Source organism: Homo sapiens, chromosome 1 (assembly GCF_000001405.40).
Source record: "Homo sapiens chromosome 1, GRCh38.p14 Primary Assembly".
In the NCBI taxonomy this organism is placed as follows: domain Eukaryota; kingdom Metazoa; phylum Chordata; class Mammalia; order Primates; family Hominidae; genus Homo; species Homo sapiens.
This window is the reverse complement of record NC_000001.11, coordinates 20,666,033-20,684,433: the sequence shown is the minus strand read 5'-3', so window position 1 is coordinate 20,684,433 and position 18,401 is coordinate 20,666,033. Positions and strand designations below refer to the sequence as shown.

Below are 18,401 nucleotides of genomic sequence, written 5' to 3'. Positions count from 1 at the left end.
TGGGCTTTCCTCACTTGCCGTGTGGCTTTGTTAGGTTACTTAACTTTTCTGAGCCTCGGTTCTCACTTCCGTTAATGATGATGTCAGCCCGACCTCCATGTCGTGGTCATCCAGGGGTTCAACAGGCGGAGACCCAGTCCCAGAGGCCACAGTTCAAACACTGAGCGACCCCTGAGTGCTGGGCCCAGGACACAAGGATGAGCAAGCTGCTGCCTCAGCCCCAAGGGCCCACAGGCCAGGGCGGAGGACAGGCAGGGCCAAGAGGGTCCTGTTCTCTAGCAGTTCCCAGCCTGCCTCCTCCACTAGCTCTGCCACCTCGGGCCAACTTGCAACCTCTCTGTGCCTTCACTGCCCATCTTCAGAATGGGCGATATCAGTAGTCCCAGTGTGAGAAGCTTGTGGTGAGGGTCAAAATGGGCATTGCCTGCAGCGTGGCAGCCCCGCGCTGGGCACGCAGTAAACACTTGGCACATGTCCTGGCTGTTTTCACAGTGTGGTGTGGAGGGAAGGCTGGGGGGCCTTCACAGAAGTGGAGACAGCTGAAAAAGGTTTGCTGCAGGGGTGGCATCCTAGAGAAAGGGCACAGCACCTGCAAAGGTGTGGAGGTGGGACCCGGCCCGGGCATTTGGAGACGTGCCAGCCGTGAGTGAAAGCTGGAGTGAACCGCAGAGTGGGGTGCAGGGGAGATAGAGGGAAGACCCTATGTGCCCTCCTCGGGTGCTTGGGCTCCATCCTGATGGAGACCCACAGCAGGATGTTTTTTTCTTTCTTTTTTTTTTGAGATGAAGCCTTGCTCTGTTGCTCAGGCTGGAGTGCAGTGGTGCGATCTCGGCTCACTGCAACCTCTGCCTCCTGGGTTCAAGCAATTCTCGTGCCTCAGCCTCCCAAGTAGCTGGGATTACAGGTGTGCACCATCACGCCCGGCTAATTTTTGTATTTTTAGTAGAGATGGGGTTTAACCATGTTGGTCAAGCTAGTCTCAAACTCCTGACCTCAAATGATTTGCCTGCCTAGGCCTCCCAAAGTGCTGGGATTACAGGCGTGAGCCACTGCACCCAGCCAAAAATTTGTACCTCTAAAGGACAAAACTCTAAACGTTTTTGAGCATTTTGGACATAAATAGTCTTAACAATGTATTGTGCATGTCCCTGCCTGATTAAATATTGTGCGCTGAGTGTATTGAACATTTTTCACAACCCAGGGTTCTTCTCATCATGCCAGTGGCCTTAGACACAGAACTAGCCTGCTCAGCTGCAGGGAGCACCAGCGTGGGAAGTCCACGGGTCAGGGGTGGGTTAGCTGAGCCCACAGGAAGATTCCCGCCCTGACCTGCCACTGTGGTCAAGTGCACAGGCAGGGAGTTGGGCAGGAATCCTGGTTGTGACCCTGAGCAAGCAGCGTCCTGTCGCCGAGCCTCGGTTTCCCTCCCTGTGAAGTGGGGTTGTTGGAAGGATCTGGGGGGCCCACGCATAGCCTGGAGCCTGCTGGATGGCACGTGCTCGGTGATGGGCAGATATTGTCTTGTTTGCTTTCTCCTCCACGCCGGCAGTCTGCAGCTGTTGGAGCAGCAGGTTGTGGGTGGAGAGCAGGCCAAGAACAAGGACCTGAAGGAGAAGCACAAGCGGCGCAAGCGCTACGCAGACGAGCGCAGGAAGCAGCTGGTGGCTGCCCTGCAGAACTCGGATGAGGACAGCGGGGACTGGGTGCTGCTTAACGTCTACGACTCCATCCAGGAGGAAGTGCGGGCCAAGAGCAAGCTGCTGGAGAAGATGCAGAGGAAGGTGAGGCCCAGATGCAGCCCCCCATGCCCAGCTGCCCAGAGATGGGTGAGACCCCCCGATCCAGGCATCCCTACACCTTGTAGGAAGCCAGGCAGCCCTCTACTCTTTACACAGCAGGCATGCATGCATTTATTATTTATTTTTAGAGACAGGGTCTCTCTGTCGCCCAGGCTGCAGTGCAGTGGTACAATCAGCTCACCTCCCAGAATCAAGCCATCTTCCTGTCTCAGTCTCCCGAGTAGCTGAGACTACAGATGTGCACCACCACACCTGGCTACTTTATTAAATTTTTTGGACAGGCAGGGTCTCACCATATTGCCCAGGCTGGAAAGCACTTATTAAGTGCCTGCAGTGTGACACACCCTGTTCTGATGCTGGCAGGCAGAGCAGTCACAGTGACAGATGTGTCCCTGTCGCTGTGGAGCTTGCCTCCCAGTGTGTGTGTTGTGTGTGTGCACGCATGCGGGTATGTTGTATGTGTGTGCACGCATGCGGGTATGTTGTATGTGTGTGCATGCATGCGGGTATGTGTTGTGTGTGTGTGTGGGTGTGCGTGTGTGTAAGAAATAACACAGGAGAGAAATAAGTAAGAGAATATTGAGGAGTGGTCAGTACTGTGAAGAGAATACCAGGGCGAGACAACTCCGTTTTTATGTTCTCATTTTTGTTGATGGTTAAGTGCACAAATTACAAACGCACAACTTGATTCATTTCTACGAAGTGCTTTCCACAAAGCATGCCCATGAAACGAGCACCCAGACTGGGAACCTCAGAAGGACCTGGGCTACCACAGGTGGGGGACAGGGACATTCTCCTGGAGGTAGAGACTTCTGGGGGAACTGAGAGAGAGAACCAGTGCTGGGTGGCATGAGGAGGAGCATTGGGATGGAGCCTGAAGCAGGAGTGAGGTCAGCATCTTCTAGGAGCAGAGAATGGGCAGATGTGGCTGGAGAAAGGGAGTGAGGCCTGAGTCAGGGAGAGCGTGATTCTGCCCACGGTGAGGGTCATGTGCACTGCCTTTGGAGCTTTCTCTGTGCTGTCCGGGTCTCCTGATCCTCATGATGGCTCCTTGGCCATCTGCAGGGTCCTCCCCACCCCCTCGCCCCCACCACCGTCCTGGCATCCTAAGGATCTTGCCAAGCATAAAACTTTGCCTCTTTTGGCTGGGCGCGGTGGCTCTCGCCTGTAATCCCAGCACTTTGGGAGGCTGAGATGGGAGGGTCACTGGAGGTCAGGAGTTCAAGACCAGCCTGGCCAACATGGTGAAATGCCGTCTCTACTAAAAAAAATACAAAAATTAGTCCGGCGTGGTGGCGCATGCTGTAATCCCAGCTACTCAGGAGGCTGAGGCAGGAGAATCCCTTGAACCTGGGAGGTGGAGGTTGCAGTGAGCTGACATCACGCCACTGCACTTCAGCCTGGGTGACAGTGCGAGACTCTGTCTCAAAAACAAAACAAAACAAAACAAAACCTTTTTGCCTCTTTAACCTCTTTAGTTTTTTATTTTCCTGGATTTTTTTTTTTTTTGAGACAGAGTCTTGCTCTGTCACCCAGGCTGGAGTGCAGTGGCGAGATCTCAGCTCACTGCAAGCTCCGCCTCCTGGGTTCATGCCATTCTCCTGCCTCAGCCTCCCGAGTAGCTGGGACTACAGGCGCCCGCCACCACACCCAGCTAATTTTTTTGTATTTTTTTAGTAGAGACGGGGTTTCACTGTATTAGCCAGGATGGTCTCAATCTCCTGACCTCATGATTCGCCCACCTCAGCCTCCCAAAGTGCTGGGATTACAGGTGTGAGCCACCATGCCTGGCCTTTCTTGGCTATTTTTATATCTTTTCTTAATGCTCCTTGTTATATTTCCAGTTGAATTCATTCTCCCGTAGATATCTTGAATTAGGTCTACATTTCTAATATTTTTTCCTTTCTTTTCATTGATGTCCTATTTCATATCTTCTTGATTTTTTTGTCCCTTTCTAAGTTTTTCAATTTTGGATTAGAAATGTTCATACCTGTGAATGCCTGTTTAAGAACGTTTTATTCAAATGTATTCTAATTGGAGTTATTTTTTATTTCTTATTTTTAAGAGTCTCACTCTGTCACCCAGGCTGAAGTGCAGTGGCACGATCATAGCTCACCATAACCTTGAACCCTTGGGCTCAAACAATCCTCCCGCCTCGGCCTTCCAAACTGCTGGGATTACAGGTGTGAGCCACTGCACTTGGCCTTGTGTTACATTTTTATCTGCTGGCTTGGTTCTGTGAGCTTGTGCTTTCGGGGAGAATTTTCTTCACTGAAATGTTTTGATTTTTATTTTCTGTTTCTTCTGGTAGCTTTGGTTAGACACATCTGTTCTTTTCTGTTTACTTTGTAAACAGTCATGTTTTTCTGGACTATCAATAACAGCTGAAGGCAGAGATGAAGTTTGAGGTGGTATCTTAGTTTTCTTCATTCGATAGCACACTCTTCTCTTTGTATAGTGAAGTGTAGTTTTAAATAGAACTCTAGGCCAAGCACGGTGGCTTATGCCTGTAATCTCAGCACTTTGGGAGGCTGAGGTGGGCGAATCGCTTGAGCCTGGGAGGTGGAGGTTGCAGTGAGCGGAGATCGTGACATTGCACTCCAGCCTGGATAGCAGCATGAGACCCTGTCTCAAATCAATCAATCAATCGATCTCTGATTTGTTTCCTATTGCTGTGTTAACAAATTACTATAAATTTACTTACTTAATATACACAAACATATCATCTCACAGTTCTGTAGGTCAGAGTCCAGGTACAGTGGGGCTGGCTTCTCTGCTTAGAATTCCACAAGGCTGAAATCAAGGTGTTAGCAGGGCTGGACTTCTTTCAGGAGGTTCTAGGGGAAGAATCCTTGTCCACACTCATTTCAGGTGTTGGCACAATTTAGTCCAATGAGGTTGGTTGCGGGACTGAAGTCCCCATCTTTTTGCTGACTGTCGACTGTGGGTCACTCTTGGCTTCTAGACACCGCCTGCATTCCTGGGCTCCTGGATCCCTGCAAAGACAGCCAGAGTGGGAAGCAGTCCCTCTCACGCGTGGAATGTCTCTGACTCCACTCCTGCCTCATCTTTCAGAAGCATCTCTTCTACCACATCTCTCCTGCCTGCCTCTCTGCCTTCTCTGTTGCTTTTATTTTTATTTTTCATTTTATTTTGAGATAGGGTCTCACTCTGTCGCCCAGGCTGGAGTGCAGTGGCACAATCATAGCTCACTGCAGCCTTGACCTCCTGGGCTCAAGAAATCCTCCTGCCTCAGCCTCCTGAGTAGCTGGGACTACAGGTATGCACCACCACGCCTGGCTAATTTTTTTATTATTATTATTTTTTGTAGCGGAGGGGTCTTGCTATGTTACCCAGGCTGGTCTCAAACTCCTGGGGGTCTTGCTGTGTTACGCTGGCTGTCCCAGGCTCAAACGATTCTCTTGCCTCAGCCTCCCAGGTAGCTGGGACTGCAGGCGCATGCCACTGCACCCAGCTAATTGTTTTGTAGAGAAGGGGTTTTGCCATGTTGCCCAGGCTGGTCTCGAACTCCTGAGTTCAAATGATCTGCCGGCCTCAGCCTCCCAAAGTGCCGGGATTACAGGCATCAGCCACTGCACCTGGCTGCAAAGTCCTTTTTTTTTTTTTTTTTTTGCCAAGGAAGATACCATATTCACAGGCACAAAAACAGGGGGCAAAAATCTTGGGGGTGAAAGCTTATTTTTTTGGTGGTGGTTGTCTTTTGTGGTTTTCTCTTGTTTCTGCAGGACTTTCAGTTTCCACCTCAAGGGCGCTTCCCACTTCTAAATGCAGCACCTTCCGGAGACTAACTCCTCTGGTCCTGCACACGTACTGGTCTCTTCCATCAGTTTCTCATTTTCAGGTTTCAGATCCGTTTTTAGGATTGTCTTGCTCCTTGTGGAGGGACTGCACCCTGCCTTCCATCACCTCATTCCTCCTCGCCCCATGCTGTCCTGGATGCTCTCTGCTTACCTCCCCATGGGGTGGCTCCGGGGCTGTCTGCTGCACTTGGGGGTTTATCTCTGTACTTCCATGTAATTCAAAGGTTCCAGCGTTCTCTGTCTTCAGGTCATGCTGTAGGCTGGTTAAGGGTGGCTTTATTTTTCTCTCCTGGTTCTTCTGCATGTTTTTTTGGAGGTCTTGTTGGAGAGATTCAGGCTTAGATGGATGTTTTCATCCTCAGGTACCTAGGATGCTGTTTATTTTATTTTATTTTTAAATTTTTTTTGTATAAGGAAATATGTACGTATGTGTGTATACACACTGTTATGGTTTGGCTGTGTCCCCACCCAAATCTTATCTTGAATTATAGCTCCCATAATTCTCATGTGTTGTGGGAGGGACCCAGTGGGAGATAATTCAGTCATGGGGTCGGTTTCCCCCATACTGTTCTTGTGGTAGTGAATAAGTTTCATGAGATCTGATGGTTTTATAAGGGGAAACCCCTTTCTCTTGGTTCTGATTTTCCTTTTGCCTGCCACCATGTAAGATGTGCCTTTCACCTTCCACCATGATTGTGAGGCCGCCCCAGCCATGTGGAACTGTGAGTCCATTAAACTTCTTTTTCTTTATAAATTACCCAGTGTCGGGTATGTCTTTATGAGCATTGTAAAAACAGACCAATATACACACACACAAGAACACACGTGCCATCTCTTTCTTAGATAAAAGTAGCTCTAGTGCACGCTTTCTTCTACCTAGCTTTTCTCACACAACAATGTATAGTATCCTGAAGGTCACAGCAGTATGGAGAGATACTCCTCATTCTTTTCTGTTTTTGAGACGGAGTCTCGCTCTGTTGCTCAGGCTGGAGTGCAGTGGCCTGAGCTCGGCTCACTGCAATCTCCACCTCCTGGGTTCAAGAGATTCTCCCACCTCAGCCTCCCGAGTAGCTGGGACTACAGGCGTGCACCACCCATGCCCGGCTAATTTTTGTATTTTTTAGTAGAGATGAGGTTTCACTGTGGTGGCCAGGCTGGTCTTGAACTCCTGATCTCAGGTGATCCACCCACCTCGGCCTCTCAAAGTGCTGGGATTACAGACGTGAGCCACTACGCCTGGCCTCCTCATTCTTTGACAACTACATAGCTCTCCATTGTGAGGCTGGATCATTGCTTATTGAGTCAGTCCTCTCTTGATAAACACTTGGGGTGTTTCCAATATCTTGTAATAATAAAGGCTGCTGTAGTAAACAGCCTGTGCATATGACTTCTGTATTCTTGGTAGGTTTCTTTGGAATCTATTCCTCCAACTAGGGATGCTGGGACAAAGGGTAATGCAAGTGTGATTTTGCTCGATGTCACTAGACATGCCAACTTCTCCTCCATAAGGATTGTATTGTTTGGCATTTCCACTAGCATGTATCCATGTGTTTCTCACCAACAGAGTATATTTACAAAAACCTGGATTTTCCTTTTCTTTATTGAGACGAGGTCTCACCCTGTTGCTCATGCTAGAGTGCAGTGGCACGATCACAGCTCACTGCAACTTCAACCTCCTGGGCTCAGGTGATCCTCCTACCTCAGCCTCCCGAATAGCTGGGACTACAGGCATGCACCACCATGCCTGGCTAATTTTTGTATTTTTTGTAGCGACGGGGTTTCACCATGTTGCGCAGGCTGGTCCCAAACTCCTGGGCTCAAGTGATCCTCCTGCCTTGGCTTCCCAAAGTGCTGGGATTACAGGCATGAGCCACTGCATACAGCCCCTAAAACTTGGATTTTTACCACTTTGTTAGGTGAGAAATAATATCTCAGTGTAGTTTTTTGTTGTTGTTGTTGTTGTTTATTTTATTTTATTTTTCTGAGATGGAGTTTCGTTCTTTTGCCCAGGCTGGAGTGCAATGGTGCAATCTCGACTCACTGCAACCTTCGCCCCCCAGGTTCAAGTGATTCTCCTGCCTCAGCCTCCCAAGTAGCTGGCATTACAGGCATGTGCCACCACGCCTGGCTAATTTTTTGTATTTAGTAGAGATAAGGTTTCACCATGTTGGCCAGGCTGGTCTCGAACTCCTGACCTCAAGTGATCCGCCCCACCTTGGCCTCCCAAAGTGCTGGGATTACAGGCGTGAGCCACTGTGCCCAGCATCAATTTTAATTTGCATTTTTCTTATTGTGAGCAGTGTTGAATAGTTTTTCATATGTTTTGTGGCCATTTGCAGTTTTTCTCCAAATTATTTTTATTTCTTTTGCTCATTTCTCTATTAGCATGTTTGTTCTTTTTCTTTTCTACATGTAGAAACTCTTTATACATTAGGAATATTAGCTCTTGGTCTGTGATATAAATTGTAAATTTTTTTCCAGTTTGTCTTTTACTGTGCTTTATGATATTTTTGCCATATGAAAATTTTCAATTTTTAGATTTTGTCAAATTGACCAACTGTTAAAAAATTATTGCATATTAATTTTCAATCATGGGAAAATTCCCTCATGTTTTTTTTCTAGAACTTCTATGGTTTCGTCTTTTTTACATTTAAATCTCTGATCCTTAATCTGTCACAGGGGTAGAGAAAAAAGAGTAAATTAATGATCTAGTTAGAGTTTATCTTGGTACATGTGTGAGGAGCTGCTTCGATATTGTCTTTTCTTTTTTTCTTTTTCCTTTTTTTGAGACAGAGTCTCAGGCTGGAGTGCAGTGGCACAATTTCCGCTCACTGCAACCTCCATCTCCTGGGTTCAAGTGATTCTCATGCCTCAGCCTCCTGAGTAGCTGGGATTACAGATGTGCACCACCACGCCCAGCTATACAAAAAGAAGTACAAAACTTACATTCCAAAAACAATGAAAAAATGTGAAAGTAATTAAGAAGACCAAAATAAATGGAAAGACATCTCATGTTCATATGAATTGGCAGACTCATATTGGTGAGAGGTCAGTACTCCTCAAATTGATCTACAGATTCAAGGCAATACCCATTAGAGTTCCCGCTGGTTTCTTTGCAGAAATTGATAAGCTGATCCTAAAGTTTACAATGAAATTCAAGGGACTCAAAATAGCCAAAACAATCTTGAAAAGAACAAAGTGAGGGGAATCACACTTCCTGGTTGCAAAGCTTTGCTACAAAGCTACCGTAATCAAGACTGTGTGGTACTGGCATGAGGACAGACACACAGATCAAAGGAATACAAATGAGCATCCGGAAATAAACCCTCATATTTACAGTCATCAATTAATTTTTTTTTTTTTTTTGAGACAGAGTCTCGCTTTGTCGCCCAGGCTGGAGTGCAATGGCGTGATCTCAGCTCACTGCAAGCTCCGCCTCCGGGGTTCACGCCATTCTCCTGCTTCAGCCTCCCGAGTAGCTGGGACTACAGGCACCCACCAAGATGCCCGGCTAATTTTTTGTATTTTTTAGTAGAGACGGGGTTTCATTGTGTTAGCCAGGATGGTCTTGATCTCCTGGCCTTGTGATCCGCCCTCCTCAGCCTCCCAAAGTGCTGGGATTATAGGCATGAGCCACCGCACCCGGCCCTTTTTTTTTTTTTTGAGATGGAGTCTTGCTCTGTCACCCAGGCTGGAGTGCAGTGGCGTGATCTTGGCTCACTGCAACCTCTGCCTCCCAGGTTCAAGCAATTCTCCTGTCTCAGCCTCCCAAGTAGCTGGGACTACAGGCACATGCCACCATGTCCGGCTAATTTTAGTATTTTTTAGTAGAGATGGGATTTCACCATATTGGTCAGGCTGGTCTCGAACTCCTGACCTCAGGTGATCCATCCACCTCGGCCTCCCAAAGTGCTGGGATTACAGGAGTGAGACACCACGCCCAGCCTGTCAATTGATTTTTGATAAGGATGCCAAGATAATTCAGTGGTGAAAGGACAGTCTTGTCAATAAATGGTGCGGGGACAACTGGATATTCACATGCCAATGAATAATGTTGGACACCTACCTCACACTCCATACAAAAATTAACTCAAAATGGATCCAAACCTAAATGTAAGAGCCAAAACTGTAAAACTCTTGGAAGAAAACGTAGGTGTAAATCTTTGCTACCTTGGATTAGGCAGTGGTTTCTTAGGTATGACACCAAAAGCACAAGTTACTTAAAAAAAAAAAAAAAAGAGGGATAAATTGGATGGTGCAGTGGCTCATGCCTATAATCCCAGCACTTTGGGAGGCCGAAGTGGGAGGATCGCTTGAACCCAGGAGTTCAAGACCAGCCTGGACAACATGGGGGAAACCCTGCCTCTACAACAAATTTTAAAAATATTAGCCAGATGTGGTGGCATGCACCTGGAGTCCCTGCTACTCAGGAGGCTGAGGACTGGAAGAGAGGGAGGACTGGGAGGTCGAGGCTACAGTGAACCAAGATCATGCCACTGCACTCCAGCTTGGTGACAGAGTGAGAATTTTATGGCATATGAATTATATGAATTATGTCTCAAGAAAACTGTCACAAAAATTATCGTGCTGGGTGCAGTGGCTCACACCTGTAATCCCAGGACTTTGAGGGGCCGAGGCAGAAAGACTGCTTGAGGCCAGGAACTCCAGACAAGCCTGGGCAACACAGGGAGATCCTGTCTTTACAGTAAATTAAAAAATTAGCTAGGCGTGGTGGCTCACACCTGTAGTCCCAGCTATTTGGGAGGCTGAGGTGGGAAGATTGCTTGAGCCCAGAACGTCGAGGCCACAGTGAGCTGAGAAGGTGCCGCTGCACTCCAGCCTGGGCAACAGAGTGAGACCCTGTCTCTAAAAAAATAACAACAAACAAAAATTATTGTTAGTGATTCCAGATGTACAAAAACATATAATGATTATTATACCCACTAACACCACGTGCTTACTACCCAGTCTAAGAAATGGAGCAGGGCCGGGCGCGGTGGCTCACCTGTAATCCCAACACTTTGGGAGGCCGAGGTGGGTGGATCACCTGAGGTCAGGAGTTTGAGATCAGCCTGGCCAACATGGTGAAACCCCGTCTCTGCTAAAAATACAAAAAATGAGCTGAGCGTGGTGACTCAAACCTGTAATCCCAGCTTCTTGGGAGTTGAGGCATAACAATCGCTCAAACCCTGGAGTCAGAAGTTGTAGTGAGCTGAGATCATGCCACCGCACTCCAGCCTGGGCGACAGAGTGAATCTGTCTCAAAAAAAAAAAAAAAAATGGAGCAGGCTGGGCCACTGTAGCTCACACCTGTAATCCCAGCACTTCAGAAAGCTGAGATGGGAGAACTGCTTGAGTCCAGGAGTTTGAGACCAGCCTGGTCAACAAAGTGAGCCTCGTATCTATTTAAAACAAACAAACAAACAAACAAACAAAAGAAATGGAACATTGTTAATCCAGTTGAAACCCCTGTGCACCAGCCTCTCTGTGGCTGTCCTGCCCACCCATGTCCTGCCAGCTGTTCTCAAATGGGTATCAGTGCATGAATTCAAACATCCTTCTTTTATTTTTATTTATCTATTTATTTATTTATTTATTTTGAGACAGAGTCTCACTCTGTCGCCCAGGCTGGAGTGCACTGGTGTGATCTTCACCTTCACCTCCCGGGTTCACGTAATTCTACCTCAGCCTCCTGAACAGCTGGGATTACAGGCGTGTGCCAGCAGACCTGGCTAATTTTTTTGTATTTTTAGTAGAGATGGGGTTTCACCATGTTGGCCAGGCTGGTTTCAAACTCCTGACCTCAAGTGATCCGCCCGCTTCGGCCTTCCAAAGTGCTGGGATTACAGGTGTGAGCCACCACGCCCTGCCTCAAACATCCTTCTTTACTAATCAGACTGTACCTGCTCTTTGAGGAAACAGACTGTGCACCAGGTAGTCTTGGGGCTCAGGGAGAGGGTGGTTATGGCTGGGGCTGGCAGTCACCTGTGCTCAGGAGGGACCGGGGGACCGGTCTGGCAGACTTGAGCAGGAGACCAAAAGAATCTGGAACCCTTGATCAGATCAAGGTGGGTCTTACTCTTAGGTCCATTGTTTAGGTCCAGTGTTTGTCACACCGTCACACAGGGCTGTGGCAGTGGGAGAGTGAGGATTGTCAAGTCGGAGAGTTTGTGCCTGTTGTCCTCCTTAGAGATGTCACTTGTGCAATTCTCTGATATCCTTTAGAACGGTGGTGTTGGATGTGGGGACTTCTCAAAGGCTCCTGAATAAAATGTACAATGGGAGATAGTGACTGAGGGGCTGGCTGTTGGGATTGCTGATCAACTTTTCCCCTACATTTTGCAGGGCTGGGGGGACACATTAGGTGCTCATTTAAATGCTGGGTGGAGAGACAGCAGGGTGATTGGATAGACGGAAGGATCAGTGGGTGTGAGAGGAGGTGGATGGATGGATGGAGGGAAGGATGGCTGGATGGATGGTGGGGATGAGAATGGATGGCTGATCAGGCCAATGAACAGACGATGCGTGGCTGCTGGCAGGACAGTGAGTGGACAGGGTGGTTAGATGGAAGGGGAGGTATCTTTCCCTGCTCACTGCTTGTCATCCTTTGCTTTCAGCTTCGGGCAGCAGAGGTGGAGATCAAAGATCTGCAGTCCGAGTTTCAGCTGGAGAAGATCGATTACTTGGCCACCATCCGCCGGCAGGAGCGTGACTCCATGCTCTTGCAGCAGCTCCTGGAGCAGGTGCAGCCCCTGATTCGCAGGGACTGTAACTACAGCAACCTGGAGAAGATTCTGCGTGAGTCCTGCTGGGACGAAGATAACGGCTTCTGGAAGATCCCACATCCCGTCATCACAAAAACCAGCCTCCCAGTAGGTCAGGAGCTTGGCTGGCCCTTGCCCTCCCCTCCCTCCTTCACGGCTTACCATCCTGCAGACTGGCAGGGAGTGTGGGCCTCTCCTTGCAGGCTGTGGGTGTAGAAGACACGTGACCCTGGGTACCTGATGCGTCAGGACTCTGAGAAAGTGGTGTGTTCTGGAGGCAGACAGATGTGGGTTGGAATTCTGGCAGCACCGTTCCCTGTGTGCCCTTTTTGGGACTCGGTGTCTTCATCTGTGAAATGGGGATGAATAACAGCACCTTTCTTAAAGTTGCTGTAAGGTTTGAAATGTGTTAATAGGCCAGGTATGGTGGCTCACGCCTGTAATCCCAGCACTTTGGGAGGCTAAGGCTGGCAGATTGCTTGAGTCCAGGAGTTCGAGACCAGCCTGGCCAACATGGTGAAACCCTGTCTCTAAAAAAAAAAAATAGAAAAATTAGCCAGGCATGGCAGCATGTACCTGTAGTCCCAGCTACTATGGGGGCTGAGGCGAGAGGATCGCTTGAGCCTGGGAAGTCAAGGCTGCAGTGAGCCAAGATCGTGCCACTGCACTCCAGCCTGGGTAACAAAGTGCGACCCTGTCTCAAAACAAACCCCGAAAAAACAAAAACCAGAAATGTGTTAATACACAGAAAACCCTTACAGCAGTGCCTGGCACATAGTGATGCTCGCTGCATGTCATTGTTATCCTAATCAGCATTGTCACTGGTTCATCCTTACGACAGCCCTGAGAAGACAGGTTTTCTACCCATTTCACATAGGAGGACACAATCTCAGAGGGTCCAAAGTCACAGTCACAGCAGTGAGTGGGAGGACCATGGATCAAAACCCACAGTTCAGAGTTTCAGGCCTGGTTCCACTTCCGCTCTTGCTGCTGACCTCCCGTATGGCCTTCCGAAGATCACTGTCCCTCTCTGGGCTTCTTTACAAAGAAGGGGTTGGATCAGATGACCTTGAAAGCCTCCTCACCTCTGATGAGTCTCAGAGTAAAGCCAGACATGCTGTGGCTCTTTCTCCAGCCGTGGACCTGACTCTGCCCATTTGGGGAGCCCGCAGTGCCCCCCAGGAGTCCTCCCTCTTGCTCAGCGTGTTCATCCAGGTCCAACATCTCTGATGTTTATTGACACCATCCCTGCTGAGACCCCAGCCCGCCTCCATTTCCCACATGCTCTGGGATGCAGCAGCCTTCCTGTCTGTCCCCACCCTCGCCTGCTGTCTTGCCTGGAAGCCCCTTGGCTGCTGTCTTGCCTGCAAGCAGATGAGGGTCTTCTCTGGTGCCTGAGCCCCTCCTGCTGTCTGTTTCTTAAAATTATCCCTTGGCTTGGGCTGGGAAGTGTCCTCCCCTGTTTAAGCCTGAGCCAGGCCTGACCCCCACCTCCACCTGTGCCCTCCTCTAGGCCTTGCACCAGGCAGCAGTGACTTCAGCTTTTGTTTTCTCATAGCAGTTTCAACTGGGCCACAGAACAAACCAGCCCGCAAAACCTCTGCAGCAGACAATGGCGAGCCGAACATGGTGAGGACCGCGGGAGAGGGAGTGGGGTGTCGGGGGCTGGGAGGGCTTTGCCCCCAGTGCTGTGGGTCAGTGTTACTGTGGAGAGCTGGTTTTCCACTTTCCTCCCGCCTAAGGATTAAAGAAGGGGCCAAGGCTGGATCCTTTTCATGCCCCTCCATTGGCACCTAGACCCTCAACCCCCTCTGGCCCTCATTCAAAGGTACTCACAGTCATAAATACCAAGGGAAAGTAGATGGTTCGGTGGCCCATCTTGCCGGTGAAGGACAGAGACTTCAGCCTCAAACTCAGAGGACAAGCAGCACATTCTGGTTTCCTGCTGGTAATCCTCAGACCAAGAGGGTCCTCACAGGGTTCATGAAGCAGTAATTGGGATTCCTAAGTCACTTTATTTTCCCGTCTCTCATATTCTGTCTTTTTTTTTTTTTTTCTTTTTCTAAGCTCAGTGGCAAGACCTATCTCCTATATTTTATAGTGCAACAGAAATGCATGTTCTTAAAGCATGGGTGGTGGTGGTTGTTTTTTTTTTTTTTTTTTTTTTTTTTTTTTTTTTTTTTTTGAGATGGAGTCTCGCTCTGTCACCAGGCCGGAGTGCAGTGGTGCGATCTTGGCTCACTGCAACCTCTGCCTCCCAGGTTCAAGCAATTCTCCTGCCTTGGCCTCAGCTGGGACTACAGGCGCGCACCACCATGCCCAGCTAATTTTTGTATTTTTAGTAGAGACAGAGTTTCACCGGGTTGGCCAGGATGGTCTCGATCTCTTGACCTTGTGATCCTCCTGCCTCAGCCTCCCAGAGTGCTGGGATTTCAGGCATGAGCCACCACGCCCGGCCTCTATTTTATTTTATTTTATTTTATTTATTATTATTATTATTATTATTATTATTTCGAGACAGAGTCTCGCTCTGTCGCCCATGCTAGAGTGCAGTGGTGCGATCTCGGCTCACTGAAAGCTCTGCCTCCCAGGTTCAGCCATTCTCCGGCCTCAGCCTCCCAAGTAGCTGGGACTACAGGCACCCGCCACCAAGCCCGGCTAATTTTTTGTATTTTTAGTAGAGACGGGGTTTCACTGTGTTAGCCAGGATGGTCTCGATCTCCTGACCTCGTGATCTGCCCGCTTCAGCCTTCCAAAGTGCTGGGATTATAGGCGTGAGCCACTGTGCCCAGCTAAGCGGGGTGTTTTCAACGAAACTCTTCCAGTTTTTTAAGTTAGCTGGGAGCTACTGTCCCCAGCAGCCACCAGAGGCCCAGACAGAAGGGCACCAGCGGGAGTCCACCAGTCCCTTGGGGTGGCCTGGTCAGCAGGCACAGCTTCCATGACACAACTCCATGAACAATGATATGAAAGTTGTTATTATTTACAGATCCTCAGGCTAGGCAGGGCCACCAGAGAGGGACCCAAGCAGCTGGACCCCCTCTTGGTGTCCTTGTGTCTGGGCCTCTGGTGGCTGCTGGGGACAATAACTACCAGCTAAGTTAACAGAGAAACTCTAAGAGTTTTGTTCAAAACAAGGGGTCAACAAAATTTTTCTGTAAAGGACCCGATCATAAATATCTTGGGCTTTGTGAACTATGTGGTCTCTGTCACAGCCACTCAACTCTGCCACTGTAGCACAAAAACAGCCACAGGTAATACACAAATGAATGGTGTTCCAATAAAACTTTATTTACAAAAATAGCCTGCAGGCCAGATTTGGTCTGTATGCCATAATTAGCTGATTCTGCCTTAAGCCATTACAAATATTTCAGAAAACCCACATAGAATATACCTTTACAGTTATGATAAGACCACTCCTAGGCTAATGAATTCCAACCAAACATCTCTGGCTGAGCAACTCAGGCTGCAAGGGGCCACTCATGGTGGTCTAGAGCTTGATTGGCAGCTTCATAAAAAAGGGAAAGTTGCTGCCAGGAAAAAAGACATTCTTAATCTGGGACCACAAAGAGGTTATGTCAGAATGCTTTCAGCTCCAAGCGATAGATACCAAAGCAAACAACCATAAGAAAAATAAGGAATTTTTTAGTTCATGTAAGTGGACCAGTTTCAGGCACGGCTGGATCTAGGGGCTGAAACAGTCAGGGTCTGTGTCTGTCTTCACCTCTTTTTTTTTTTTTGAGACGGAGTCTTGCTCTGTTACCCAGGCTGGAGTGCAGTGGTGCAATCTCGGCTCACGGCAAGCTCCGCCTCCCAGGTTCACACCATTCTCCTGCCTCAGCCTCCCAAGTAGCTGGGACTACAGGTGCCTGCCACCATGCCCGGCTAATTTTTTGTATTTTTAGTAGAGACGGGGTTTCACCATGTTAGCCAGGATGGTCTCAATCTCCTGACCTCGTGATCTGCCCACCTTGGCCTCCCAAAGAGCTGGGATTACAGGCATGAGCCACCGCGCCCGGCCACCTCTTTTTTTTTTTTTGAGACAGAGTTTCACTCTTGTTGCCCAGGCTGGAGTGCAGTTGTGCGATCTCAGCTCACCGCAACCTCTGCCTCCCAGGTTCAAGCGATCCTCTTGCCTCAGCCTCCAGAGTAGCTGGGATTACAGGCATGCACCACGACGTCCAGCTAATTTTTTTGCATTTTTAGTAGAGACAGGGTTTCTCCATGTTGGTCAGGCTGGTCTTGAACTCCTGGCCTCAGGTGATCCGCCTGCCTTGGCCTCCCAAAGTGCTGGGATTACAGGCGTGAGCCACTGCTCCTGGCCTATGTCTTCACCTCTTGTTCCTGCTTCCCTTGGTATGCTAACTGAAGGCTTTCTCCACATGGCCGGAAGGATGGCTGCTGGCCATTGGTGATCCAAAAGGAAGAGAGGCCTGGTCTGTTAAAGCAACTGTCCCCAGTCTTTTTGGCACCAGGGACCAGTTTCGTGGAAGACAATTTTTCCACAGGTCAGGACGGGGTGGGGGGTCTGATAGTTTCGGGATGATTCAAGTGCATTACATTTAATGTGGACTTCATTTCTATTAGTATTACATTGTAATATATAATGAAATAATTATATAACTCACCATCATGTAGAATCAGTGGGAGCCGTGAGCATGTTTTCCTGCAACTAGACGGTCCCATGTGGGGGTAATGGGAGACAGTGACAGATCTTCAGGCATTAGATTCTCATAAGAACCACAACCTGGATCCCTCACACGTGCAGTTCACAATAGGGTTTGCCCTCCTATGAGAATCTAATGCCACCACTGATCTGACAAGAGGTGCAGCTCAGGCAATAATTCAAGTGATGGGGAGCAGCTGCAAATACAGATGAAGCTTCACTTGCTCACCTGCCGCTCACTTCCTGCTGTGCAGCCCAGTTCCTAACAGGCCAGGGACTGGTACCAGTCCATGGCCTGGGGGTTGGAAACCCTTGTCTTAAAGCATCCTGAAACTAGAGCTTGGGGAGAGATTCTGATTGGCTCTGCCTGGGTCATGTGTCTACTCTTGAACCAATTACTGTGTTTAGGAGGATGTGGTTCTGTGATTGGTGCAGTCTGGGTCACATGTCCAGCTGTGTAACAACAGGATGGGAGTCAGATGTAGTATAGGGCACTATGAATGCTCACCCCACTGGGATGTCAAGTGGAAGAAGGACAATTCCCTGAAAAGGGAGATTTAGATTGAAGAAAACAAGTCCATAATAGTGGGGAAAAATAATAGCTCTTGGTGATAAGAAGGTTTGGATTCCAGTTCTAATGATCACAAATGTACCTGTGAGCTGAGGATAGCAACGCATTGCCTATTCTATGAACATGTCGTGATAGATTTGGGGCTTGTGTATCAACCCGGCCCCCCTGTTGGAGCTGGCAGGACACCCTGTTTTGAGCTTTGTAGGACAGAATAAGGCACTTCCCATCTCAAGGAAGGGGAGGCCGGGTGCAGGCTTGGCTGGAGACTGACTTCCTGGCCCCGAGCTGCCTGGGATCCCACCCCCGAGTCCAGGATCTACGGTGTAGGGTACACCAGAGTGGGCAGTGCCTGCTCCAGCCCTGTGACAACTTCGGGGAAGCTCGGGGCGGCCCCCACTGCCCCAGGATACCAGAGGCTGTGGAGCCCTGTGCCAGGGGCACAAACAAGGGGACGTGACCACGGGCATCTGCATCTCGGCAGGAGGACGACCGCTACAGGCTCATGCTCAGTCGGAGCAACAGTGAAAACATTGCCAGCAACTACTTCCGATCTAAGCGGGCCAGCCAGATCCTCAGCACAGACGCCAGGAAGAGCCTCAGTGAGTGTCCCTCCCCTGTCCCCACCCTCTCCACACAACTGGGAGAGGCGTGAAGGGGATAGTTTTGAAGTCAGACAGGCCTGGGTTCAAAAACTCCTTTCCCTCTCGGAGCCTCAGTTTCCTTAGCTACAAAATGAGGGGGGTAACACCAACTTCTTAGGATTAGGTGATACGAGGTGAG

General features: G+C 49.0%; 1 protein-coding gene across 20 annotated transcripts in view; it reads left to right on the top strand.

Annotated features, from left to right (window-relative positions):
- KIF17 (kinesin family member 17) overlaps positions 1–18,401 on the top strand; it is a 56,378-nt gene that overhangs the window by 33,574 nt on the left and 4,403 nt on the right. For 7 of the 20 annotated variants that reach the window (XR_007062426.1, XM_047426153.1, XM_047426148.1 and 4 more), the window contains exons 11-14: positions 1,550–1,781; positions 12,238–12,496; positions 13,943–14,013; positions 18,103–18,220. Coding sequence is in view for 18 of the 20 variants with exons in the window: in XM_047426153.1 (XP_047282109.1) it covers positions 1,550–1,781; positions 12,238–12,496; positions 13,943–14,013; positions 18,103–18,220 (680 nt within the window). In the remaining 2 variants the exon portion in view is untranslated. Of the gene's footprint in view, positions 1–1,549; positions 1,782–12,237; positions 12,497–13,942; positions 14,014–18,102; positions 18,221–18,401 lie in introns of those variants that run through there. The other 13 variants (XM_047426155.1, XM_047426150.1, XM_047426152.1 and 10 more) reach the window with 5 other exon arrangements.